The sequence below is a fragment of the Homo sapiens genome, chromosome 12, assembly GCF_000001405.40.
Source record: "Homo sapiens chromosome 12, GRCh38.p14 Primary Assembly".
NCBI classification, from domain to species: Eukaryota; Metazoa; Chordata; class Mammalia; order Primates; family Hominidae; genus Homo; species Homo sapiens.
Window position 1 is genome coordinate 71,203,893 of NC_000012.12, and position 22,275 is coordinate 71,226,167.

At 35.8% G+C, this 22,275-nt stretch overlaps 1 long non-coding RNA gene across 1 annotated transcript; it reads left to right on the forward strand.

Moving 5' to 3' along the window:
- Window positions 1-12,941: 12,941 nt before the first annotated feature.
- On the forward strand, window positions 12,942-16,942 carry LOC105369831 (uncharacterized). The gene is made up of 3 exons (XR_945081.2): window positions 12,942-13,218; window positions 15,501-15,614; window positions 16,410-16,942. It is a non-coding gene; the product is annotated as an uncharacterized LOC105369831 (long non-coding RNA).
- Window positions 16,943-22,275: the final 5,333 nt, after the last annotated feature.

Genomic DNA, 22,275 nt, shown 5'->3' on the forward strand with positions numbered 1-22,275 from the left:
ATAAATGGTCTAAATGCTCCACTTAATAGATACAGATTGGTAAAATGGATTAAAAAATCACAAGCCAAATATCTGCTATCTTCAAGAGACTCACCTAACACGTAAGGATTCTTATAGATTCAAGGTAAAGGAGAGGAAAAAGATATTCCATCCAAATAGAAACCAAAGCAAGGAGGAGTCACTTACTTTAAAGCAATAATAGTAAAAAAAAAAAGAAGCAAAGAAGATTATTACATTACATAACGATAGAATATAATGATAGAATGATTCCTGCAACAAGAAGATATTACAATCCAAAATGCATATGCATCTAATTCTGGAGATCTCAAATTACCACTAGACCTGAGAAGAGAGATAGAGAGCCACACAATAATAGTGGGGGACTTCAGCATTCACTGACAGCACTAGAAAGATTATCCAGGCAGAAAGTCAGCAAAGAAACAATGAACTTAAACTTCACTCTAGAACAAATGGATGTAACAGATATTTACAGAACATTCTATCCAAGAACTGCAAAATATACATTCTTCTCATCAGTATATAAAACATTCTCCAAGATAGAGCATACAATAGGACACAAAACAAGTCTTAATAAATTTTTAAAATTGAAATTATACCAATATGATTTTATGGAAGCTGCAAAAAAATAAAATATTAATACCAAGGAATATACTTAACCAAGAAAATGAAAGATTGCTACAAGGAGAACTACAAAACACTGCTGAAAGAAATCGTAGATAACAGAAAAAAATGGAAATACATCCCATGCTTATGGAGCAGAAAGAAAAATATCATGCAAATGACCATACTATGCAAAGCACTCTGTAGATTCAATGGAATTCCTATCAAACTACCAACATCATTTTTCAGAGAATTAGAAAAAACAACCATGAAATTCATATGGAATCAAAGAAGAGCCCAAATAACCAAAACAATCCTAAGCAAAAAGAACAAATCTGGAGGCATCACATTACCTGACTTCAAATTATATCACAAGACTACAGTTACCAAAACAGCACGGTACTGGTATAAAGCAGATACATAGACCAATGGAACAGAACAGAGAACCAGAAATAAAGCCAAATACTTACAACCAACTGTTCATCAACAAAGCATATAAAATATAAATTGGGGAAAGGACACTCTATTTAATAAATGGTTCTGGAAAACTGGATAGCCACATGTAGAAAAATGAAACTCAATTCCTATATTTTACCATATTAAAAAAATCAACTGAAGATGGATTGTAGACTTAAATCTATGACCTAAAAACATAAGAATTCTAGAAGACAACCTGGGAAAAACTCTTCTTGGCATTGGCCTGTTAAAGCAAACTAAACATGGCCTGAGAAGGACTCTGTATTTCTATATCTGAGCCCTTGTGGATGAACTGCAACCTAGCTTTTAATAGGTAGACAAGACTGAAAACCTAACTTAGGAGTATGTGCCTGTAACAATAGCTGAGTTTTGGCCAATCCTAGCAGCTGTACTTTAACCATTCATACACTGCTGAGTGTTCAAACTGTGTTGAAATAAGGCAAACACCGAGCTATAACCAATCCAGCCATTCTGTAGCTCACTTCTGATTTCTGTACATCATTTCCTTTTTTTTGGTCTATAAATCTTCTTCCACCACGTGGCTGCACTGGAGTCTCTGTGAATCTGCTGTGATTCTGGAGCTGCCCAATTCACCAATTGTTCATTGCTCAATTAAATTCCTTTAAATTTCATTTGGCCAAAGTTTTTCTTTAATCAGATGGTGTCAGAAGCAGCAACTGAAGTAGAGCTTCTGGCGACCCCCAGGAGCACTGAGTGAACAAGCAAGGTACCTGCAGGACCCATTTGTGTCCACTGATGTCTCAGAGTAGCTGGGGATCATGAGTAAGTGCTCTCTCGGATTTCAGAGCCACATATTTGTGTTTTGAGCCATTGGAGTTTCTTTGAGTAAATTTCTGATCCAAACTGGGTTTGAAAGTTGTGACAGCAACTGGGCTGGGTCCAGGAATGGATTTGATCTGGGAATTAACTGGCTTGGATCCAATTAGAGACCTCTTACATCTGACTGGGTCAGAAAGGAACTGGCAGTTAGCAGTAATATTGCAGGAGTCATAAAATACGGCTTTTGAAAATTCACAGGGATTTTTGTGTCCTACCCCTTTGTTTCATTTTTCTTGCATGCCTAAGTAGGAAAAATTATTGGCTAAGTTAATCGGGAGAACCTAAGAGTAAAGCCAATATTTTAGGTAAAATGGGATCCTTAATCTCTTGAAAACTGAGTTCCTTCTGGTCTATGCATTAGGTCTTGGATGCAGTGAAGTCTTACAGAAATGGTAAAATCTTACTAAAGATAACTTACAGTGTAACATTCTGAATGAATTACAATGCATTGAAGTACATCTAAAAATAAGGGCTCTTGGTAAAGTCCCCTTTGGCTAAGAACGGGTTTGGCCCTATGGGATGTTAACTGTTATTCTCTTTGGATTAATCTGCCTTCCACTCTTTGCTGATGGCTAACGGTGACAGGATTAGGCATGTACAGGATTACAGGACATGGTGAGCTTTTTCCTTCCTAAAAGGGGAAACTTGAGAGCTGATGGGATTGCTGGAAAAGATCCTGTCACAACCAACAAGCAGCCACCGGAACTTTTCAGTGTCGCTGCAATGGGTGGGTCTTTCTCTGGCCTCCCTGAGGTCTTCACTTCCCCTTCCTGCCACAGGTAATGCTTTTTTTTCTCTCTCTCTCTTATCTTTTTTTTATTACTCAGGGCAACCATGTTGCCCAGAGACCACATGTTGAAACTCCTAGTCAGAGGTTGGATTAAAGATGGCAGGGCCCATCTGAGGGTAAATTTAAGCCTTGCCATTTGATATTGGGTGCTAAGCAAAGTGACAAATGTCTATGTCTTGTCAAATGTATTTTGCTCTGGCCAGAATGAAAAAAGATAATTTTGTTTTATGATGTAGCTTGGCCCCCCAGGGGATGGTGCAGCAAGTCAGGTCATTAGGGCTGCTCAGGGAAAGAAAACCCAGAAGCCTGGCATGCTGGCAAAAGGGTAAGAATTTCTTACCAGTCAGACTTCTGGCCTCTGACTCTCTCTCTGTGCAAACCAGTTGAATGAATGGTAAAAATCACTGTTTATCTCTTCTGTACAGTTTGGATTAATACAAAAAAAAATCTGAGTCTGGTCTTAAGCTATAGTGAATCTGGTGTGCTTTGTGTGGCTTTCTGTATTGTTCTGTCACAAAGAGGGGTGGGTACCTTGGGATAAAATGTGTGCCTAAAACCCCATGTGCCTGCTGTTCAAGACAGCCCAACAAACTGGTCAGTTATGTCCTTGGGAGCTTGACCTTGTAACTATGTGGCTGTGCTTTCTCTTTTCACAATGGTGGCCTGGGTTCAGGTTTCAATCCCTAGCTTAGGGGATGAAACTTTCTAATTGATATTTGGGTGACCTTTGCCATTTTAAAATTATAGTCCCCTCTACAAACTGTCTTGAATTTCCCTGTCTCAAAGCACCTGTGAGGTTACTTTCAATAAAGTTAAAAAGCCAGAAATATTGGCCATTTGGCCTGGGTAAAGTCAAGTAATAAGAATGTTTAAAAGGACTTTATTAAAGAGTGTTATGGTTAAAAGTCAGCTTAATTAAAAGTAGATATTCAGGCTCTAACAGCCTGAGACTCCTTGGAAAAAACAGGAGGCACCAGAGACCCTTTCCTGGACCTGTTTTTCCAAGGACTCCATCTGAAAGCCAATAATCCAATTAAGAAAATTAATAACTGGCAAATGAAAAATTTTACAACTACTGTAGTAATCTTCTGTCTGTCTAGGTAGTTTTATATACGTATTGTGTGTGTAATGTTTATATGTGAAAGAGTTTTAACTAATTGGTTTAATAATAATAAGTGCTTAAATCAAATATTTTGTCAGAAATGTAAAAAGTATAATGCCTTTTATTTAGTTCATGTAACTTTAGTATTCTTTGGTAAGTAAAGACAGTTTAAAAGATTATTGGTAAAATTAAAATGTCTTCAAAAGTGTAAATATTTGGTTTAAATTATGCAGGTCAGATGTTAAGTTTGCTAAATGCTTTAAGGTCATAAACTGCTTCTTTGACTTTTGAAAATTGTTGAATTTATTTTGGAGACATTAAATTCTAAGTAAGCCCTGGGGACACGTGAAATTAGCCATGCCCCTTAGCTATGCAAAGAAGGCATAAAAGAAAAGAGATTGTGTATAAGGAAGGATCTTTATGGTAAATTCTGGTCCTAAAGCTAAAGTAAAATGACTGTTTGTTTAAAAGAGAGATGTTTAGGACAAGTCAGAAAGTCCAAACATGTCATAGATGGTCAATGTAAGCCCATTTATAAAAGGATTTATAAAATTACATTTATGCACCAAAAGTGAAAGTTACTAAGCATTATCATTATAACATGTAATTGGGACTACTGAAAAAATAGGTTTACATGCATGGTGTATGAGGAGAATCAAATGTGTTTTTGGTAAGAGATTATAAGAAGGCATGAGAATGTAAATTTTTGCCTAGTTTAAAGGGTTAAATGATTGTGTTAAATTAAATAAAGCTGAAGGTTAAAACAAGTTGTGGAAGGTTTGTAAAAATTAACCTTGTAAAAGGAATTCTATGTGTGAAAATATTGACTAAATTTAAAAGGGTATTATTTGGTTTTACTGTAAATTGAACATCAAAATAAAAGCACAAGAGAGTTTTCTTAAAGCACTAATCTGCTCTTTAACAAAAATTTATAAAGGGTTATAAAAGGTTTATAAAAATCTTGCCATATGATCAAACTGATTAAGATTGGGTAGACTTGTCTATGAGGTTTTATTAAAAATTGGGATTGACATTAATAGTCTGCTAATGCAAGGGTGAAATTTGGCTTTCTTTCTTAAACAAGATTTTCAAGTAATATTAAAAGATAAGATAATGAAAGAGTTTTGTTTGCCTTTTAAATATACTATGAAAGAGAAAAGAAAAAGAAGGGAAAGACAAAAGACAGATTGTGTGGAAAGCTAAGTCTTCCTTCTATCAATGAGTAAAGGTTTTTGCCTTTTTAAACATTTCTGAGTCATCATTTTGATTAAATGAATGACTTATGGTGACCTGGAATTCTATTTCATAATATCAAGTGTTTTAAATCTTTAACATATTTAATAGGTTTCCCAAAATCAAATTTCAGCTTCAAAATGGTCTTTTCTGACCCCTTAACTTTGTAATGCTACAGACGGCATCCAAAAGAGAGGTAAACAGAATTATTTAACATGTTAAGTTACATGGGAAGCATTGTCAAAATAAAAATAATGTTTAATCTTCAAGTTATATTTTAGTGAATGATATTAATATGTGTTCCAAAATTGTATGGGATTTCTAAAATCCTAATATGCCTGAGTATATGCTATCAGTCATAATCATGGTTATTATGTTAAGTTATTGTGCACCACAGAAATAACCAAATTTCCTTGTATAAAACTGCTAACCCAAGTAGAACAAAAAAATTAACTAAATGTCAAGAAAACACTTTGCCAGATTTTCACGTTAAACCAGGCAATACTGAAATTGTTTACATATACAATTTGAACTCCATGTTCTAAGTCAACTTACCTATAATGACCCACTAGTTATCAATGCTATGCACCTAAATTGGAGAAACAACAAGTATTCAAGAGGACATAAGTCCAGTGTTAAGTATGGACTCATGGAGAACCAGGGCACCCTCCTTGTCCTTCCTGAGTCCTTAAAACTTGTGTTATTAAAGGTTCTGCATTCCACAATTCATCATGGAGAAAAATAAAATGATTTAAATTGAATATATTGATATGGTGACTTACAAATTGTGAAAGTAGTTTAAAACCAATGTTTGGTTCTATATTCCTGGGAAGACAATCAAACCTTCAGGTATATTTGGCTGCCTGATGGGTCATTTAAACATTTATAAAGATATTTTGTTCAATTGTCATTTTCAATCATGTTTTTTGTTATAAAAGTTAATTATTATGTCACAGTATATTTTCACCAGGTAAATAAAGCTTTTTATGGTTCACTGAGGACAATCAATTCCTTCACAATCTAGAACCTGAAGATTGAATATTCTGTGACCATCAGAGAAAGACTCTCCTTGCCATCCACACTGCAACAAAACTTTGGAACCTTGTACGTTGGATTCATAACCAAACAACTGAGAAGGGTCCCTCCATACTCTTGGAATTGTACACCCATTGGAACCCTTAAGGTAAAATGAACCAAGAAAGTTTCTCCCCAGAGGAAGATGGAATACTTGATGTGAACAGCTTTTCCCAAGATCACGAATCAAGACTTCTACTATCATGAGACTCTTATCTTTGAATATTTTTTACTTGTTTATGCTTCTATGAATAATAGAAATGGAAAGGAGGTCTATTATGTGCACTTAGAGGGTATATTTTTATTTGTGAAGGATTTTGCACCCAGCCTTATACATGAATAACCTTATACTTTGATAGATAAAAGATGAAGGCCCCATGTAGGTGAGAAACTTTAGTGGTACATACATTGCCTCATAATCAGTCAAAACTCCTCTTAACCCACATCATGGGTTAAAGAGAACATTGCAAGAAGCCCTTTATTCTTCTAGAAGGACACCATTTATTAGGTCCTTTTTCCATGGTTTAAAATAAAAGAGGCAATAATTAGAAATGCATCCCTCATAAGAGGCTCTATAGCAGATTCTACTATAAAGGCTATCATTACACAACAGACTTTATCTTGTGAAAGTTATGCTAATAATAGAGTTGGCTAAAAAGAAAAATACTTGTGCAGTTGTTGGCACTTGTGGCTTATGGAGAAATAACATCAAATGTAGATTATAAAAATTCAGTTGTAGGGGATTAATGAAAAGACCACTTAGTCAAGCAAGTAGACTCTTCATCCAGCTCCTTCTTTAATCTATTTAATTTTAGGTGGTTTGCTTTATGGGGACCCTGGCTAAGGAGCATACCCCAAACTCTTGGTATTATTATCTTCCCAATAGTCTAATAATAGTCTCCCTGATGTGCTATATTCTCTTAAAGATTTTAAATGTTTGCATGCAGCCATCAGTAGAATGTCAAATGGTCTCTCTTCAACTGGAATGATAAGAGCTGAAAGGAATATGTGCCCATAAGGGCACCATAACCTATGAATGATGTGCTGAGACTGGAAACCCAAAATAATGGCAACAGAGAGTGGTGCTAAGGCCCTAAATTTTGGTCACACTCTCACCTAAGTAAGAACCCAACCAAAAAAGGTGAACTTTTAAAACAAAATTATAGGAGGCCATTGTTTTGGACTAAGCTCATGCACTAGGACCCAACAGGCCAAACTGAACTAAAATAGAGTTACTCATGCTAAACGTGACATAATCAAACTAAGACTTTAAGGAAACATGTAGATCCTAGAACAGACTTGGTTTTGTTTTTCTTCTGTAAATAGAACGTTTCAGCAAAAAAGTTACCCTCTACTCAGCCCTTGTTCTTACCTTTTGCAAAACTCACTGTTCTACTATTTCCCAGTGGGTTTCAAGACCAAATAAGTACATTTACAATGGTGATAGTGACATCAATAACTGAAGTTTTTGTGAATCTCTCAAAACCGAGAAAATGACCAAAAAAGGGGAATTGTTAAAGAGAACTAAATATGGCCTGAGAAGGGCTCTGTACTTCTATATTTGAGTCCTTGTGGATGAACCGCAACCTAGCTTAATAGGTAGATAAGATTGAAAACGTAACTTAGGAGTATGTGCCTGTAACAATAGCTGAGTCTTGGCCCATCCTAGCAGCCATACCTCAACCATTCATACACTGCTGAGTGTTTAAACTGTGTTGAAATAAGGCAAACACCAAGCTGTAACCAATCCAGCCATTCTGCACCTCGCTTCTAATTTCTGTACGTCATTTCCCTTTTTTTTGTCTATAAATCTTCCACCACATAGTGGCACGGGAGTCTCTGTGAATCTGCTGTGATTCTTGGGGCTGCCTAATTTGTGAATCATTCATTGCCCAATTAAACTCCTTTAAATTTAATTTGGCTGAAGTTTTTTTTTGTTTGTTTTTTGTTTTTTTTTTACTCAGGCCTAGGCAAAAAATTTGACTAAGGCCCCAAAAGTAAATGCAACAAAAACAAAAATAAATATATAGGATCTTATTAAACTCAAATTAAGCCAAATTCCATACGTTCTCACTTATAAGTGGGAGCTAAGCTATGGGTACACAAAGACATAAGTGGTATGATGGAATTTGGAGACTCAGGATGGGGGAGAAAGATAGGGGAGTGAGGGATAAAAAAAACTACATATTGTGTGCAATGTACACTACTCAGGTGATACATACACTAAAACTCAGACTTCACCTTTATACAATTCATCCATGTAACCAAAACCACCAGTATCCCAGTTCATCCATATAACCAAAAACCACCAGTATCCCAAAAACCATTGAAATTAAAGTATATGTTTATATTTTTTACATATATGTTTCATATATATAAACTTTACATATGTATAAAGTTCAATTTATACATTACACACAGTAAAAGGTTAACAGCTATTAATAAAGTACAACAATTATATTAATAATAATATGCTATAATAAAACTTACATGAATGTGGTCTCTCTCTCAAAATACCTTTTTGTACTGTATTCACCCTTCTTGTGATAATGAAGTAAACTGAATAATATAGGTATTGTGCTGCAGCATTAGGCTACTACTACCTTCTGAAGCAACCTGAGAGGAAGGTTTATTTGCTTCTAATGACCCTGGTTCATTGAGCCATGATGATGTTAATGGTTGGACATTAGTAGCAGACAACGTTTATGACCATTAGGCAGACAGCATCTACATCATGGAATCACTGGATGAAGGAATGATTCACATCTGAGGGGTTTCAGCAGAAGGACACAAGGTTTCATCACTCTACTGAGAACTACACACAAGTTAAAACTTATTAATTGTTTACATTTGTAATTTTCCACTGAATATTTTCAGACCATGACTGACCATAAGAAACTGAAACCACAGAAAATGAAACCACAAATAAGGATGGGCTACTGTAGGAATAAATGGACAAACCCCTTAGAGTGCCTGAATCTACAATATGTCAGCAAAAGAACCTACAATATATGCCTGAAGTAAATCACCTTCAAGTATGTTCAATCATTCCTTCTCTTTATTCAAAATTGAAATTTCCAAAATTCAATTTGGAATTGAATTTTGCCCTAACTTTGTCAGGGCAGGGAAGAACATCTTAAAAAACAGTCCCCCAAACCTGCTGATGTTCCCCCAATGTAACATCTGTTGTTTGGCTTCCAAGATAACTGAGGATAGATACCCCACAAGCAAAGAGACCCAGAAGAGTGTTGGATGCTTGGCCAAGGAGTTTGGTCTTCATCTTATAGGCAGAGGAAAGTCATTGGAAAAATAAAGAATGGAGATAATCCACACTTCTGTTCTCTTTGGGAACATGATACACTCTGGGAACTGTCAACAAATAAAATCATAAATGAATGCAATATACAAATATGATATACAATTCTCATGACATTTATTGGTGAGCAATCTGGATGTTAGAAAGAGGAATGAAGTTAGAAGTGATTCGTTGAATACAATTTCATTTTGTAGGTAACTATGCAGAGAAGCAACATCTGTAGCTTTCCCTTGGTCACAAGTTTACCTACTGGCATTCAAGATTTAGGACTAACTTTCTTTGGTTATTATATGACACCATCATGCTGAGCCATTGTGATAAAAGCCTGTGTTAATGTACCTTTCTTCAGTAAAATACTGCTAACAGATCCTATTGTGACTTGGATCATGTCTACAGTATTCATAATGTTGGGCATTTCTCTCACTATTACTTCAAATGCTGAAGATGTAATGTTTCATCTTTCATTTCCTCATTTATTCAGCAAGGACCTAGTGAGCATCAGATGCTATGTTGGCTGAGGGTACAAAGATAATAGTAATGGTATTGATAATAATAATATCAACAATAATAATAGAGAACACTTACAAGGTGCCAGACAATATTCTGAGTGCTTTTCATGTGTCAATTCATTTAATCCTCATAAAAAACTGTGAGCAGGGATGGAGAGTGACTGCTGATGGGTTCAAGGTTTCTTTGGGGGATGATGAAAATGTTCTAAAATTAGATTGTGGGGTTGGTTGCACAAATCTGTAAATACACGAGAAAACACTGAGTTGAACACTCTAAATGGGTGAATTTTATACCATGTGAATTATATTTCAGTAAAGCTCTTAATAAATAAAATTAAACCCAGAAGATAGATTATTGGCCCCACAATGCAGATAAGTAATGTAAGGCACAGAGAGGTTCCATCATTTGTCCAAGGTCAAAAAGCTGCTAAGACACAGTGCTGGGATTTAAATCCAGGCAGACTCAGAGTCTATACAATATATATACAGTCCTTTACCTGAAAGAATTCAAAATATGGGGCATCTTTACAGAAAATGAAGCATACATATATAGCCCTTGTATTTCAGTTTGCAGTTCCATTAAATACACATTTGGAGAAAAAGAAAAAGTATATAAAAGAAAGCCAATGGATCGCAGAGTACTGAATATCAGGGCATGTGCCATTATGTCCAAAGCCTGATTCTCCTCCTGAAGACAGTGTGATCAGGAAAAAGTTTCATAAAATCAGTTGAAGAAAAGAAGGTAAAGAGAGCAGTTTACTCAGTGAGGGTTAACATGACAAGCATAAGCTGGCCTGTGTGTGGACACCCTTCTCCAGGAAGTCCTAGCACCTGGAGGAACACACAGGAAACAAACGGATAACTGTCGGTGAATGACACTCAGCTAGTTAAACAGTAGCTTAGGTTGAATTCCAACTTTCTATACTTTAGATTGACTCAACTTTAGGCCAGAAAAGAAGGCAAAAGAGCCGCACAAGATAATCTGAGATATGCAGGCATTAAATGATTTGGTGAGCACCTGGTGTTAATGAGGCCACAGCTCCAGGCTTCTACAGGTCAACTAGTTCTTACACAAAATCTTTTTCAAGAACACAGACTCTGGCTGTCTTGAAAATATATTTAAGTGGTTAAAAAAAAGAACTGAATAAGAGAAAACGGGTGGCTGAGCTCGAATTCTTTTCAACTCTAGGAAAAACTCACAGTGCATTCCTACTGATGGTGAGCTAAGGACAAAGCATTCCCTAAATAGTATGCATTCAACCATTAACAGATTGTTAACACCACAATGTAGCAGACATAGGAAATACTTAAACCAGAATGCAGTAACCAAATTTCAGTTCTATAAACTTGCAGTCTGCTTCAAATTCTACTCAACTGTATTTATGCACCAAGCAATGCACTAATCGTTGGATAAATAAGGCATATGACCTTTTGTGCCAAAAAAGTACACAGTATGTTTCTAAACTCCTCAAAATTTTTAGCATGACTGTATTATTACTTAGTTGAATATTTTTCTCATTTGGTAATGAATTATGAGTGTGATATTCATTAGGTCCCAAATAGTGCTCTTCTTATCCACTAAAAGAGCTACATAAAAAATACAAAAGTTGTAGCACTATTCACAATAGCCAAGATATGGAATCAGCCTAAGTGCTCATTAACAGATAAACAGATAAAGAAAATGTGGTATATATACACAATGGAATATTATTTCACCATAAAAAGAATGAAATACAGTCATTTGCAACAACATTAATGGAACTGGAAGACATTATGTTAAGTGAAATAAGCCAAAGACACAAAGGCAAATGGCATATGTTCTTACTCATATGTGGGAGCCAAAAAATAGGCTGGGAAGAATAGTGGAGAGGAAGGGATAAAGAGAGGTTGCTTAATGGGTACAAAAATACAGTTAGAAAGAAGGAATATGATCTAGTATTTGGTAGCACAAACACTTAGGGCGACTTTAGCTGACAATAGTTCATTGTATATTTCAAAATAACTAGAAGAGTAGAATTGGAATGTTCCCAACACAAAGTAATGATAAGTGTTTGAGGTGATGGGTATCCCGACTACCCATATTTGATGATTATACATTGTATGCTTGCATCAAAGTGTCACATATGTTTCAAAACATGTACAACTATAATGTGTCCATACAAATTAAAAATAAATTAGTTAAAAATGTAAAGGCAGATTTTCTTACTAAAATTCAAAAACTGCCTTTATATAAATTACAGAAGAAAATAAATTTTAAATAGGGTGATAAATCCCAAATAATTTATATTTAGTTTGTGAATGTTCAAAGCACACACACACACACACACACACACACACACACACAGAGATGTTCTAATTCAGATATGAGCCCTCTCTGAGTCCAATTTCTCTATCCACCACAAACTTTACACTTTCTTCTGTTAGCCTACTTATATATGCATACAACTAGTTGACCTGTAGAGGCCTGGAGCTGTGGACTCATCAACACCAGGTGCCCACCAAATCACATAATGCCTGCATATCTCTAATATATTAGAGGAAGGAGAACTAAGTAGATAAAAGCTCAGGTATCCATAAAATGTAATATCTAAACTAGGACAATGTTGAAAATGAAGAAAGCCATAATGATTACAGTGGGACAATAGAAGGAAACTGGGGCTATACTGGGCAAATTGAGACATTAGAGTCACCCTGTTAAAAGTCTGTGCTGAGTTCTGAGGTCACACTCTGCTAGTAGTTACAGAGAAACAGCTGAAGGCTTTTCAGTAGTGTTGTTAAATGACCAGAACTTCAGGAAGCTTAGCATAGAAGTGGGTTATGGCTCGATTGGAGCAGAGAGAGACTGAGGCTAGGAAAGCCCATGAACATTTTTATGACACCAGTGAAGACATAAGGAAAGGCCAAGCCACGATGGCAGCAATAAAAAGAGAAAACCTATATGAGACATTATCTAAAATCACAGTTAAAGCAGTTAAAGAAGATATACAAGTTGTGACACTGGTCCAAGTAGTTATAAACTTTTGAACACATCTCAAGGGACTTGATAGGTAAAGGTCAGGCATGGTAGAGCAATTGCCAGCAGGAGAAACCAAGGTGAGATCAGATTCCAGGGCCAAAGCTGTTTGCTTCATACTCATTTTTTTCATACTTCCTGTTCATCTGAGTGCCAGGATCACAGGTGTGTGCTTCACTCCACGGAGAACTCCACGGGGGGTAGTAAACATCCCCATTCTGTTTACTACCATGGAAGGCATAGGTAAGCCAAGAGGTTCTGTCACTAGTGGGGTAATAAAATGCCACCAACAATTGCTCCAGACACCACTTGGTGGCACCAGTACCCTGAAATGATTGAATGCAACCTGCTTATCTTGTTCTTCCATGGGAAATTCATATAAACCTTCAGCCAACCCTCAAGTTCAGTTTTTTCCAGGATTATTTGAGTTTGTCGGAACTGTCACATCCTCCTTTATTGTTATCCATGGAGATTCTGGTAGAAGATGAGAATGTCTTTATTTTAATGATCTCTTATTATTTCAAGTATTCCTTTGAATGTACACACACAGAATTTTGCATAAATATGACCATTTCTTACTGGATTTTGCCTATATTAGATTCTTCCCTTTTTGTTTAGCTTCCTCACCTACCATCACCACAATTCCCCCAACCCCTTCCAGAAAACCCACCTTAACAACCTGGTATGTATCTGTTCATATTTTTTCCATCATATAACCTTATACAAATGGATAGATAGACTATAGAGAGACAAATGAATACATACAAAAGTTGTTTTGGTCATTGATTCATAATGTAGACTCACATGTTCTTCTATACATGTTACTTTTCTATCTCAACAATACCAGGTGGTAATTCTTCAAAGTCAACTGGTATTGCTCCATTTTGCTCTTTTGAGTGGCTATATTATATTCTATGGTATAAATATGCCTTAATTTATTCACCAACAGTCCCTATTGAAGGGCATTCACTTGGTTTTACTTTTGCCACATTAAATAATGCTGCTGTTGTCTATATCCTTATGCACTGGTACGGACATAAGTATATATTTTTTTAATTTATGAAATGTTGCCAAATTTACTTTCAAAAAGCTGCTTAAAATTCCCATTTCCCCAGCAACGTATGAAAGTACTCCTTCCCTCACATCTTCACTTGCTATGTACAGTTTTGCTTTTTACTTTTTCTCAGCTTGATGGGTGTAAAATGATAACTTATTATTATTTACTTTTTGTTTTTCTGACTGTTTGTGATTTTTTTTTAGCATCTTTTCAGGTTGTTGGGCTATTTTGATTTGATTCTTCACAGCATTTGCCCAAAGCAGAGATTTTTTTAAAAGACCTCTACTTAATAAAGAAGCTAGAAGAATATTGCTAAAATATATTTTAGAAAGTAGAAAATATGATTTATTATAGTCACTAATATCCATATGAAATATCTAACACACACTAAAAGCATTGGAATGCCAGAAAATAATCTTGTAAGTACTATTTAATTTGAAATGTCTCCTCTGAAGACAGAATGTGCCTATTTTTCTCTTCATAAGGAATTGTCTCTTTCATAGTGTTTTACTTCTGATCGGACAATGTACTTTGCTGTGTATGCTTAAGTAGGATTAGGTATTAAATAGAACCAGTTCCATTTATTTGATTGCCATTCCAAATACTTGCTTTAAAAAAGAAAGAAAGAACAAAAAATCAGTAGGGAAAGAAATTGTATTTTTAAGCTTCTAAGAAGATTTTATAAACAATAGAGCCCAGAGAACAAAAAAAAAAAAGCCATAAAATGACTTGACAGTGTCCTTTTAAGTGAACATATGTGAGTTTTATGCATCCATATGTGTTCACATATGCCCTACATATGCACAGCCAGCTGCTAGCCGGCCAGATTGTTCAGTGTGTATGTTTACTGGAAAACAAGCCCAAAGTGTTTGGTCTCTTTGTTAGAGAAACAGCTCATAATTTCAAGTATACAAATGTCAGTTGTTTCTCATTTCTTTTTCTTCCAAGCCAAATGAGCTGTTGATGCTCAATTTGGCAAGAATCTAACTGAGGCTGACTATCAGCCAGCCACAGGAACCCAGCCCTGAAAGTTTGAGAAATTTTTACAAGAATAAGAAGCTTTTTCCTAATGGCTCCCTAAACCATAGAAAGTTTCCTTAGAGCCTCAGCCAGTTCTCTCCCACTCAATATCCCAAAGTATAACCGCTAACATTGTTTGGATACTAATGGATTAAGTTAGGGTGTGAAATGGGAATATTAAGTCCTCCCATACTTTGGCCAAATACTCTTTAGAAACCCTCTTAACAGAGAAGAGCCCGAGGGTGTAGAGATTTTATTTGTGATAGCAACCTGAGCTATGAGCCCTAACATCTCTCCTTTTATTTCATCTTTTATGACTGTCCCACAGCTTAAAATGATGAAGTAACATTTGGACCAATTTCCAATTGAAGATTAAGCCTTTAGATCAATTATATATCTGCTTCCACAATTAAGGTATTAAACCCAATTATCACTGTTATCTCTGCAGCCTGAATAGAGGAAGGAAAAGCATGTGGAAGCTGGATAGAGTGAAAGAACTTGTGCTTTGGGGCGAGAGAGTCTGTGTCCCATCCTGGATCATTCCCTGACCACATGGCCTTAGGTAAGCAGCTTCACACTTCCAACTTCAGTGTCCTTATCAGCTAGATGAAAATATGCCGATTTCCTAACATTCTGATGAAAATGAAATGAGAAAACCTACGTAAAGAACAATGCACAGTACTGGAGATAGGATAAGTGCTCAATAAATTTAAGTTCTATTCCCCCTTCTTTACATTTTTCTCACCCTAGTCCCTGCAAAAAGAGAGAGACATGAGAACCAGGAATATTTCTTGATCAACGACATAATCCAAAGGTCCCCAATCCTAATGGCAGGGAGGAAAAGGGCTGAATTAAACAAACAAAATTCATTTAAAATGTTGGTTTTTCATATCATAAACAGAGTCAGAACTGATAAGTTGTATTTATGTGTGAACATATTCATAAAAACATACTCATTTATTTAGCACCTATTGTGTCTCTATAACAGTACCTGACATGTACTAGTAGCCACAAATATTTCTTAAATAAATGAATAAAAACCAAGTCATTAGAGCACCATCATAATTTTTTCCTAAGTGCTCAGTTTCCTGGGATTTGTTTGTTAGTGATGGCTCCTTGCTTTCCAAGGTGAATGGAAAGGAAGGAAGGTAAGGAAGAACTACAAGTATCCATTGTCACAGACATATGCAGCCACTGAAGAATAACTAGAATTATCTTATCCACCTTCTGGCTTACCAACACAGGCTCCTTCTGTATCTAATCACTTCTCATTCCTTCTTTCCCTTACTCCATTCAACCTTCATGAAGCTGTCCAACATTTCCTCACAACTGAAAAATACAATTCCTATTGCTGCAGGTGTCCATGTGTTTGGGGCAAAAATGAGCCACTGCTAACAATTGTAAAGAAAGAGAGAACAGCTGTTTGCATCTGGATATGGGGTAAGAAAGAACAGCTGCTGGCAGCGGTGGCAGACAAGAAAGTGAGCAAATGAGCAGCTGTTGGTAATTCAGAATCTCATCAGCCACACAGAATAATTGAAATCCAGAACCATGCAGGGCTCGACTTAACAGCTTTATTGCATCCTGCTGTTCATTAGATCCTGCCTGTCCTCCATTAGAGATTCCTGTGATAGCTACATGAGGACTCTCAACAGGAATATCCACCCCGACATCCCCATCCACAACCCTTTGAAGAAGCAACCCAAGAGAGGTAAAAAGGCACAGACTTTTCTTCCAGTAAGTCCATACCTATTTTTACACAAAGGAAGACAAGGGAAGGGATATTAACACACATGGGAATGATCACAAGATTGGCCAAAAATAATTATTTCTGTATTATAAGAAATTATAGCCATTTTAATGATGAACTCACATTTCAGAATTCCAGCAAGCCAGCATAAATATGTGATAAGTATAACTTAAACTTGAAAAAATATATTTTGAAATACTGTCAGTGGTTTCAATGTCTCTTTTCATGTATATGTAATCCTATGACTATATATATATATATATACACACATACATCCCTCTTTTTTTTTACTTTTAATAAAAAGAAGAGAAAAACATGTTTGCATCACGCATTACAAAATGTGTTTGGTTTCCTTTTGGGCTTCATACTAGTTCTTCTAGCCAACTGGAATTCTAGGATAAATCTAGAATAGATTGGATAGGATAAATTTGAGTGACCCCAAAATATCAGTCCATCTCTCACCTTGCTTAATACAGAAGAAAAACATCTCATTACTCTCATATATAGAATTCCAATTCTTTAGTCACTGAAAGAAACAGTAGAAGAGAAGAAAAAAGAAACCAACCCCAATGTTATTTATTGCTGAACTATATACAACTAAATGTCCCCAAATAAAAGCATATTTAATTATATGGCAAGTTATCTGTATTTATAAAGGTGATCGTTTTGAAGATGTTAATAGGGGAAATACTTGTGACACAACACTTATGGAGAAGAGTCTGCAAAGATCATTTAGACAGGAAAAGTTGAATGCAAAATGTGCACCATAATTAACATTATGGTTTAAAGGTAGGCATAAGACAATTACATGAAAGAAATATTTTTAAATGGAGGAAGTCAAAATAAGAGAGCAGAAGGGAAATTTTAAATTTCATTTCTTTTGCTATTTTTCTCATTCTGCTGTTATTATAAAACGTAAAAGATCTAAATAATAATTAGATTATAATGGAAATTACTGATAAAATCCTAAACTGTTAGTAACGTAAGGACAGGGTCCTTCTTTGTTTTTGATCACCTTTTGTTTCCACTGCCAGACACAGTGTTCAGACATTTAACACATATTTGTTAAATGAAGAAGTAAATGAAATGAGTAAATCCTCTATGTTTTAAAACTGCCATTGCAGAAGAAAGAATGAAACCACTTCTACCAATGGCATATATGTGACTGAGAAAATACTTCCTCTACTGAAAGGATCAATTAGAAACATCCCTGAAGTTTTACACTCACAGCATCTTAAAATGGAGACTCCCATGATGAGATATGTGGCCCAACCAGATCTAATGAACCCACGAATTATGAATAATGAGAGGCAGAGAAACTAGCCAACCTCTGAATGTGTTTTCAACTGTAAGATATAATTCTATGACTCGGATTAAGAGAAGAAGGAGAAAGATTGATTGCCAAAAATTAATTTCACAGCATCTGACTCTTAATTTGCCAACTAGAATGGCCAAGACAAAGTTCTAGTAGTTTTGTGCTCCAGGTGGATAACTTTTGCCAAAGTGAAATTGTTTAGTGTAGCTATTCACAGCTCCCCTCTCAGGTCCAGGGTTTGTTCCCTGGTATGACACTAGAAGAAGCGTTTGAACTTTAAGCAAGTTGGTAAGAACACAGATGCTGTCCACCCTTGATTTTACTGCCCCACATTCCTGCAACAGTAGACTCCAAGGTTTAAAGACTTCCATTATGTCAAGAGCTGCCTCTGAATCAACCTTGTCTACTAAACCATTTCCTGGGAAAACTGTGATATACTCATCATTCTGGTATAAACATCTTAATATAAAGTCTGTTTTCCAGATATTTTAAAACTTCCCCAAGCCCTGCTTGCATAAAGTGTAAATGTTCCGTGTTAACATAAGGTACGCCTGCATTTTGAGTGTTGAGTAACTCAAGACCCTGACAAACTTGTATGTTATCCAAAATATGTTTGCAGACTTTTCCCCGTTGCCTATAAAATAGCATTAAAGGAAGTATCTCACTCCATAAATAAAACTGTCGAGTATTTAAGTGACTTACACTTCATCATCATCATCACCAAAACTGTAAAGTGCCCTTTCTCTCCAGGGCTGGGATCATAATATACTGGGCATATTCAACAGATATTTGAGTAACCCACTGAGAAGATGCAGTACTAAGTTTTTTTTCATCTTTCTTTTCTTTGATTCCTTGACAGCAGGAATCATGCCACCTACTAATCTCCAGATATAATTTCTGTATTACAAATGTAAAGCTTAATTTTATGTGATAACTTCACTGGGCCGTGGGGTACTCAGATATTTTGTCAAACATTATTTTGGGTGTTTACATCAGAGCATTTTTGAGTGAGACCAAAATTTAAATCAGAAGACTGAATAAAGCAAATTAACCTCTATAATGTTGGTGGGACTAATCTAATCAGTTGAAGGCCTGGATAGAACAAAATGGCTAACTCTCCCCCAGGTAAGACAGCAATCTTCTTACCTGATGACCTGTGAACTGGGCATTGGCTTTTATTCCTGCCTTTGGACTCCAACTGAAACATCAGGTCTTCCTGGGTCTCAAGCCTACCCACCTTTGAATTGGAGCTATGCCATCTGCTCTTCTGGTTCTCAGGCCATCAGATTTAGACTGGAACTAATTTGTCAGCTCTCTCAGGTCTCCAGCTTGCTGACTCATCCTGCAGATCCTGGGACTTGCCAGCCTTCCTAACCAATCATGTGAGCCAATTTCTGATCATTTCTTTCTGTATAGGAAATATACACACATATCTACACATACAAACTGTTGGTACTGTTTCTCTGGAAATCCTTTACTGACACAATAAGTAAGTCAGCAAATAACATCCAGTCCACTGAAATAATCAAGTAAAACCATTCTGCAATGTATATATATACTTCAAAACTTTATATTATACATAATAAATACATACAATTTTATGTCAGTTAAATCTTTTTTAACATTTTGAAAAAAAAATTCTTTCATGGTTACTTTCCATAATGGCAGAGAAAAGTTGGAAGTGGGCTCCAGATTCCAGGTAGTGGGGTAGAAAAGACTGGGATTAAAAAGAGTCTGGTGGGGGCAAAATAAATACTCTATGGATTAGATATTGAGAGAGTTTGTAATGTCCCTACCTTGGGTATTCCTACTGAATGATCCCTAAATTCTAAGTCAGGTGGTGTGAAGGAAAAAGCCTGGATTTTAGTAACGTAGTAGACTGGGGTGAATTGTATTCTACCATTTCTCACTGCATGATATTGGAAGTATCTTTGAGTCTCACGTCTTCACTCGAACAACAACAATAATGCCCACCCGAAGAATTGTAAAGATTAAATTACATGGCATGCAAAAGTCCCAGTCACACCATAAACTGATAAAACATAGCTTAATTTCCTTTCCTTCCATACTTAACCATAAGTTCTGGGCAGAGAGTAACCTTATTTTAAGCATCTTTATATTTCCCATAGATCTGTCCCAATTGTAGATCTTTAAGAATATTTGTTAAGCAAAGCAACCAATAAAGCTAGTAAAGTTAGAGCCATCATCCTTTTATTTCTAGCACAGAATTAATGACTCCATCTGTAAAAACAGCCCAGCACTATGCCTTCTAAAGGCATTTTTCAAAATCGTGAATTCATTTTGGATGTCTTGACACGTAAGATTTCAGTTAGACATTCAAGTGTATACAGGTCTAGTGCTTAGGAGAACAATCTAGACTAGAGATGTGGAGCTGGGAGCCATTGGCACCTAACTGAAATAACAGGAAAGCAATTGTGTAGAGCAAGAAGACTAACAGGTCATGTCAGGATCCTACAAGGTATCAACATTGAAGTCAGCCCCCAAAGGAGCATCCAGAGAAAAAGAAGAAATACAAACAAGTGTGGTATCACAGTAGTCATGACACAAGAATTTTTCAAAGAGGGAATGAATGCTCAATAATGCCAAATGTTGCTGAGAAGTCTAGGAAGATAAAGTCTGAAGGAATGGAGTAGGTAGTCAGGCTTAGTCACTGCTGAAGTCACTTCTAACTGGTCCTTCACCTCTGGTCTCACCTTCAATCCATCTTCCCTGGAATAATTATTTATCTAAAACACCAGCCTGATTCTGTTTTTCTCTTCTTAAAGCTCTCCCACGCTTCTCTGCTTCTCATAAAATCCTAAGTTCATAGTATTGTAGGCATAGCCAGCTACAATTTATTTCATTCGTAGACTTTCATCTTCCCCGAAATTATATTTTTGCCCAACATTTGCGTACACTTCAGTCTCAGCCCTTCTCCTTCCTCTTTATTCTTTGAATTCCATGTGAATGTCAGTTCCTTGCAAATATCCACTGATTCCCTCGAATTTAATCTTTCCTTTTCTGTGCATCATAGGAGTTGGTATGTATGTTGAAGATGCTGCATTCGGCTGCACAGCACTCAAGCTACGTGAATAAAGGCAGCTAGCTACCTTGATTAATTCATAGATCTCATATCACTAGTGTAATTATGGGTTAACTTCTCTTTCTCCCTTTTAGATGATAAGAACTTTCTCCCTCTTCAGGGTCACGAACAGAGCTGGAGTCTCTTTCACCTTTATAATCCAATCATAAAGCAAAGCTCCCAGTAAGGCTTGTCTCCTTGTAGAATGTTGCAAAGCTAAATAAATCATAACAAATAACAGATAGAGCTTGAAAAACAAGTTTACCTTCTATATGGGCAATGAATGGCCACACATAACTTAAATTGGAGTTCTATTGAAAAGATTCCATTTCTTGTCACATTCTCACTAAAAATTAGTGGGCAAAGTTTAATAGACTTTTCTAATTCTACCAATCACTGGGGAATTCTAGTTCACAATTATTTAAGGACTGAGTTTTTAATGGTTCCCAGCTTTACTTCTTGCTGATCTCTTAATAATCTGACTACCTGTAACATTTCCACCAGATATTACAAGAACAGAGCAATAAAATTCAAAGTGACTCCTTATAGAAGCAATCACCAACACTTGTTAAAGGAAATTTAAATAACAGCTTAAAATATGGCTTCATAATTATCTCTGATTGTTCTCTATAAATTCACCTAATTGAAAATGACAAATATCTAAAAAATTAACTGAGCATACATATTTCGATGCATAATGTTTAAATGTTTATTTTCTCAAAAACCCCAGAATTTGAAAAATCAGTTTTTCTTGCTCATGAACAAAAACCTTGCAAATTTGTCTTCTGAAGGGCCAGCCTTTTGAAGCATTTTATTTCATAATATGTTTGTCACTGAAGCTATATTTAAAGGTATATTATGACCATTATTTGTTTTCCTTTGACTTAATATAAGGTAAACATTAACTTTACTTATAGAGTGTTAATAGGCTGAAATTTTATGTCAAGCTTTTAAAAACAATTTTTCCTAGAAAATTAGGTCAAACGTTGGGATGTTTTTCCTTAAAATCAACAGGTACGATTTTAAGGCCATACACATCCTAAAGTATACTTCATGAAATAAATAAGATTCACAGT